This window comes from Homo sapiens, chromosome 10 (assembly GCF_000001405.40).
Source record: "Homo sapiens chromosome 10, GRCh38.p14 Primary Assembly".
NCBI classification, from domain to species: Eukaryota; Metazoa; Chordata; class Mammalia; order Primates; family Hominidae; genus Homo; species Homo sapiens.
Genome location: NC_000010.11, coordinates 108,977,545 through 108,984,773, shown reverse-complemented (window position 1 = coordinate 108,984,773; position 7,229 = coordinate 108,977,545).

Here is a 7,229-nt window from a genome sequence, read left to right as displayed (position 1 = left end):
CAGCCTGGGTGACAAGAGCAAAACTCCGTCTCAGAAAAAAAAAAAAAAATCCTTTACATTTCTACTCAGTTTAAGGAAGAAAATTTTGTAAGTGAATATTTATGGTAGCAGTCATTTAACATGTTATCATAAAAAACTGGCAAAAGAAGAAGAACCTGAATGTAGAATGGGTTAGTCATATACTCATATTAATGGCCCTTTGGCCCATTGTATTCTATATTTGGCATTAAAAGCCCGTGGTGGTGAGAACTGAAACAAGAACATAAAAAATACGGCTCTGTTTTTTTTTATTTTATTGCAAAATAAATACAGATTGGACATCCCTAATCTGAAAATTTGAAATCCAAAATGCTCCAAAATTTAAAACTTTTTGAGTGTCACCATGACTCTGCAAGTGGAGAATTTCACGCCCGATCTCATGTGAAAAGTTGCAGTCAAAACTTTGTTTTATGCACTAAATGATTCAAAATGTTGTATAAAATTACCTTCAGGCTACGTGTGTAAGGTCTATATAAAACACACATGAGTTTTATGTTTAGACTTGGGTCCCATTCCCAAGATATCTCATGTTGTATATTTTTTATATGCAAATATTCCAAAATCCAAAATTATCTGGAATTCAAAACATTTCTGGTCCTAAACATTTTGAATAAGTGATACACTGTGTGTATGTGTGTGCACACACACATATGTGTATTTTTTTTACTTGACCTTAAATTTTCCTCATACTAAGCCATATGAGACTGGGTAAATCATTTCCATATTTTAGATAACTATACAAAATAATAGATACAATGTATGCAGCCCTTAGATGTGCAGTCCCAGTATTTAGTAGGCACAGCTATGAAAGGTGATGGAGGGCAGAGGCAGTGCATTAGACTAGCTACCTTTTCTTCATGTATTTACCATCCAGTAGTTGTGGAATCAAGAAGAAACATGTGAAAGGTCAATAATACATGGAAGCCTATTATTATTCATAAACATGAAACATCTACAATGGAATAGTAGGGTTAAAGAAGATTAATAAAAGAAATATTTTAGAATTGGGCAAGGACAATACCTAAAGAATACATGAAGGTGAATTTTTCAATTACAGTTGACCTTTGAACAACACAAATTTGAACCGCAGAAGTCCTCTTATATGTGGATATTTTCCTATAAATGTCACACTGAGTAGCCTGCCTCTCCTGCCTCCCCTTCTACCAACTTCATTCCTTCTGGCTTTGCCACCTCTGAGACAGCAGGACAAACCCCTCCTCTTCTTCCACCTCCTCAGCCTACTCAACATGAAGATAATGAGAATGAAGGACTTTATGATGATCCATTTTCACTTAATGAATAGGAAATATATTTTTTCTTCTTGTGATTCTCTTAATAACATCTTTTTTTCCTCTAGCTTACTTTATTGTAAGAATACAGCATATAATTTATATAACATACAAAATGTGTTAATCAATTGTTTATGTTATTGGTAAGGCTCCTGGTCGATAGGAGGCTCTTAACAGTTAAGATTTGGGGGAGTCAAAATTTATATGTGGATTTTTTTGATTGTATAGTGTGTTGATATCCCTAACTCCTCCATTGTTCAAGGGTCAACTGTATATCTCTGTGACATATTTTGATATTTGAAAGATTGGATTAGAACTGAATGAGTTAATGTGGAAAGATGTGTATTCTTTATTTATAACATGCTTATGTTTTATGTATGTAACAAACTGTATCTTAAATACTCCTCCCACACAAGTCTATGTAGTTTGTATTATTATCATGACTTTACAGATGTCCAGACAACATAAATACAAATTTGTATAATCCCTAAGTTTCCAATTTCCATACACATATTTCATTGTCAAAGCAGGGGCTACAGAGGCAAGTGTTAGAAACAGGAAGATACCTAATAGTTTTGTTGAATTTCTAGATCCAGCCTTACCGAAGGTATTTTCTCAGTTGATTTGTTTTCTTGTTTTAGCTTAAGGGACTCAGGACTCAGTTTAAATTGGGTTTTTGACACTGTAATCAACAGTTATGATTTTAGCACAGAAAAAAGGAAGGGGCAAATTTAGGATCTCTCCAGCAGTAGGGGTGGGGAAATTATTCAGGGGTGACCTTATTTTCCTCTTTATTTGGTAGGAAGAAACTGAGTTTTCTTTTTTTTACCTTATGAAGGGAGCTTGCGAATTTCTAACTAAGCTAAGCAAAAGATAAAGCAGGAGAAGACTAATATTTATTATGAAACATTTAAAATGAGTGCTCTTCCACTTTAACTGATTTAGATACATTATAGTGGTGGAAGCCGGGAAGTGATGCATTTTTCTAGACCCAAACATCATTTATTTTGTTTGCACTAGCTGTTTTCAAGAGAGCTGCTTCCCCCGTCCTTTCTCATGCCCCTCTGTCTCTTTACCAATTAATCAGCCAATTAGTCATTTGTCTTTATAGCTTCCTTTCCCTTTCCCTTCTCCATGATTTTTCATCTTAAGGAGATAAATCTTCTGAGAGAGAAACCTCTAACCTTGAACTAGGTAAACAATCTAGTGCTGCCAATTATCTTCTTAAAGGAATGCAATGCAGGTTTTATGCATCTCCTGAATGTCAATTCCTTATCCCCAAAGAGAAAGCGGTGGAATTTCCTGTGTTCACATCTTAAACAGAGGCAGCCTTTTCTCTTTTCCTCTGATTTCTGATTATCATGACTTACAGTAATAAAGTTCAAGGGAATGGGTAGAAGGAAGATAAATTGTGGTTTTTAATGAGAGTAATGCTTTATCATTCCCGCCAGACTGGAGTTCTGTGTAGGCACCAATGAAATAAGGGCATCAGGACTCATAAACACACACACAAATGAGCTTTCTAGTAAATGTTCTTTATCATGACCAGCCTGAGACTGAGTGCTACATAACCACGTAGACATTTTTGTAAGCAGCTATTTCAAGATCACTTCAGGGATTTGAAGAAGAGAGCAGTGAAGGATGGGAGCAGGTGAGGAGCATTCCTGCATATAGGCAAATCTGCCTTCATGTGTCCTCAAAATTATAAAGAGGTTGGAAAGATCCACTGCAGCCACTAGCAGTGTGGATCTCAAGAGAGTTGTAGGCAATGGAATTAGTTAAATCAGTTCATCGTTTGGAGAGGGAAAAAAAATGAGAAAGTGACCCAATAGTAAGAGGTTTATAGAAGATAAATTGGTATACAGGTGTTATTCATAACAACTGAGATTGCAGCAAGAATAGATGCCCTCGCCATCCATATGGAAAAGTCATATTAAGCATGTGGGAAAACATTCTGACAGGTAAATGTGAAAGATTTTGAGTGGATGGCAGAGGACAGAAACTGAAGCTTTCTGTCTTAAGGCCTAGAAAGGAAGAATTTCCATCCGTGAAAATTCTTAGAAGTTCCGTAATGTCCTCAAGATTTCTTCTCAACACAGTCACCAGGGTTTGAGAAAGTGTTTGTGATGAAGGCATATTGAAATGTAGGTCAACTGCTTCTGATTCTATTGCACAGAAGGAGAGAAAAAGAGGGAGGATAAAGCAAAAGAGCAAGAATTAATAAACAAGGGAGAGGCATGAATATCCTGGGTAGGATTAAGGCTTTGAGCAAAGGCCAGAAACTGCAGTGTGCATTGAATCATGAGGGGATCTAATTAACTATCAGATTCTGATTTAATGCCACTGATTTGGGGCTGATTGTCTCCATTTATATCAGGCTTCCAGGTGATGCCAGAGCTGCTGCTCTTCAGAACACACTTAGAAAAGCAAAGATAAGGGATGCAAGTGAATTACAGGGTAAAATGAACATCAACAATTTTAAAGGAGAAAAGAAGGAAAATACATGCTAAAAAGTGGAAAATCTACAGCATGAAGGCATGAGTGTATGGAAGCTGGTGCTCAGTATTTACAAGATTGTTTGTTATACTCCTTAAAGTCAGGTACATGGCTGAAAAGCTGGAATATGCTTGTTATTGCACAAGTCTCTGTTTTTGGCAACAATTCGCATCACCAATTTATTCTTCCCCTTCATTATCATTTTTTTACAACCCATCTATTCCCAAAAGTATTACAAGGCTGAAGCAAGCAAGCTGATTTGCCATACCCAGCTATGTCTTGGAAGGTAAGACAGGAAATAGAGCAGCTGAGATGAGGACTAGGATCTCCAGTTGGGGAGAAATAAAATGGTGGTAACAGCATGAGTTTTGCAGTCTTTAATATTACATCTAGTTTTGGCACCTACAAAATTCAAATTAAGTTTCTCATCCTCTATGAGTTTCAATTTTCTTATAAAATGTGAAAATTATATTGTACCTAGGTTTATATAAATATTAAATAATTCATGTGTAGTTCTTAGGGGACTTATATTATGGAAAGTACTCATTCTGATCATTATTATTAGTTGAATTGGAAGCCACAGAAACTTCTTGAGGGAGAATTTTAGTGATTTATCCTTCAATAACTTCTATCTTGAGCCCTACTTAAGAGCTTATGTTCAGACTCTGAGGTATCCCACTTTCCAACCTTGAAGATTTTTTTATAAAACATGTTACTCATTGCACACTGGGGGGTTACTTGTGAAATGAAACTGAGAAAAATTGAGTTGTCAAGGTGAGATTAACCCAACAGCTTGAGAAACCTAAAAAAGATAATCATACTCTATGTGGCATATATATTTATGAGGAATCTAAGAGACACATTTGTCCTTAAGCTTTCTACCAAACAGAAGAACCCGTATGTCTGTCCATGCCAAGATGGAAGCTGATAGTCCTTTGCGTTGGTTTAGAAAAAGTACTCAGAAAAATTAATGTTTTGGCATTGAATAAGGTAAATTTACTTCACTTGACGTGGGTATTGTTAAGCAAAGGATCTGAGGATATTTGCTAGTCTAGAAGAAAATGAACAAGGCATTCTGATGAATTGCAAGGAATTTTGGACTCTGGGATCAGATAATCCTGATTTAAAATTTCAATTTGGCCACTTAGCAGCTATTTGGCATTTGTCCCATTTCTTAACTGATATGAGATTTCATTTCCCACACATAAAATGTATGTACACACATATGCACACACACACAGAGAGATATAAAACTTATAACTTGTATAAGCATTGGTCATAATGTTTAGTAGAAACAAAACAAAACAAAAAACAGGCAAGCGGGAGGTTGAGGCAGGCAGATCATCTGAGGTCAGGAGTTCGAGACCAGCCTGGCCAACATAGTGAAACACTGTCTCTATTAAAAATGCAAAAATTAGCCAGGCATGATGTTGGGCACCTGTAATCACAGCTACTCAGAAGGCTGAGACAGGAGAATCACTTGAATCCAGGAGGCAGAGGTTGCAGGGAGCCGAAATCAAGCCATTGCACTACAGCCTGGGTGACAGAGTGAAACTCCCTCTTAAAAAACAAACAACAACAAAAACAAGCAAACAAACAAAAAACTAGGCATGATCAAGAAGTGGAGGCTTATGGAGATAGCTCCATGGAAAGCATGTGTGTTCATCTTAGGCCCATTCTTCACATTGGCTAGAAAATTTGGACTGATTGTTTATTAATTCAGGAAAAGCGTATCAACACAGGTGATGACCCTCTGTAGAAGCTTGGTGAAACTGCATAGACATGTTAATTGAGGTTTGATAAACATTTATCTTTGGAAAGTGGGATTAAGTTCCAAGGAGATGGTGATGGATATGGTGAAAAAAGCAGTGACTCTTGGAAAGTAGTAAGAACCAGGCCATGACCACCTGTATTAGTCTGTTTTCATGCTGCTAATAAAGACATACCCATGTGTGGGTAATTTATAAAGGAAATACATTTAATTGACTCACAGATTAGCATGGCTAGGGTGACCTCACAATCATGGCACAAGGCCAAGGAAGAACAAAGTCACGTCTTACATGGTGGCAGGCAAGAGAGCATGTGCATGGGAACTGCCCTTTATAAAGCCATAAGATCTCATGAGACTTATTCACTATCATGAAAACAGCATGGGAAAAACCCTCCCCAATGATTCAATTACCTCCCACTGGGTCCCTCCCATGTCACATGGGGATTATGGAGCTACAATTCAAGATGAGATTTCGGTGAGGACACAGCCAAACTATATCATTCTGCCCCTGGCCCATCACAGATCTCACATCCTCCCATTTCAAAACATATTATGCCTTCCCAACAGTCCCTCAAAGTCTTAACTAATTCCAGAATTAACTCAAAAGTCCAAGTCCAAAGTCTCATCTGAGACAAGGGAAGTCCATTCTGCCTATGAGCCCGTAAAATCAAAAGCAAGTCAGTTACTTCCTAGACACAATAAGGGTACAGGAATTGGGTAAATACACCCATTACAAATGGGAGAAATTGGCCAAAACAAAGGGGCTGCAGTCCCATGCAAGCCTGAAATCCAATAGCGCAGTCATTAAACCTTAAAGTTCCAAAATTATCTCCTTTGTCTGCATGTCTCACATCCAGGTCATGCTGATGCAAGAGGTGGGCTCCCACAGCCTTGAACAGCTTCACCCCTGTGACTTTGGAAAGTACAGTTCCCCCTCTAGGCTGCTTTCATGGGCTGGCATTGAGTGCCTGTGGCTTTTCCAGGTGCATGGTGCAAGCTGTTGGTGGATCTACCATTCTGGGGGCTAGAGAATCATGGCTTTCTTTTCAGAGCTCCACTAGGCAGTGCTCCAGTGGGAACTCTGTGCGGGGGCTCCCTCCCCACATTTCCCTTCTGCACTGCCCTAGGAGAGGTTTCCATAGCACATGTTTCCATATATGAAAACATCCAGGCATTTCCATACATCCTCTGAAATCTAAGCAGAGGTTCCCAAACTTCAATTCTTGACTTATGTGCACTTGCAGTCTCAACACCACATGGAAGTTGCCAAGGGTTGGGGTTTGTGTCTTCTGAAGCAACAGCCTGAGCTGTACCTTGGCCTTTTAAAGCCATGGCTGGAGCAGCTTGGACACTGGACACCAAGTCCCTAAGCTGCACTCAGCAGGGGGCCCTGGATCTGGCCCAGGAAACCATTTTCCCTCCTAGGCCTGCAGGCCTGTGATGGGAGGGGCTGTTGTGAAGGTCTCTGATGTGCACTGGAGACATTTTCCTCATTGCCTTGGTGATTAACATTAGACTCCTTGTTACTTTTGTAAATTTTTACAGCAGGCTTGAATTTCTCCCCAGAAAATGGGTTTTTCTTTTCTATTGCAAAATTTTCAAACTTTTATGTTCTGCTTCCTCTTGAATGCTTT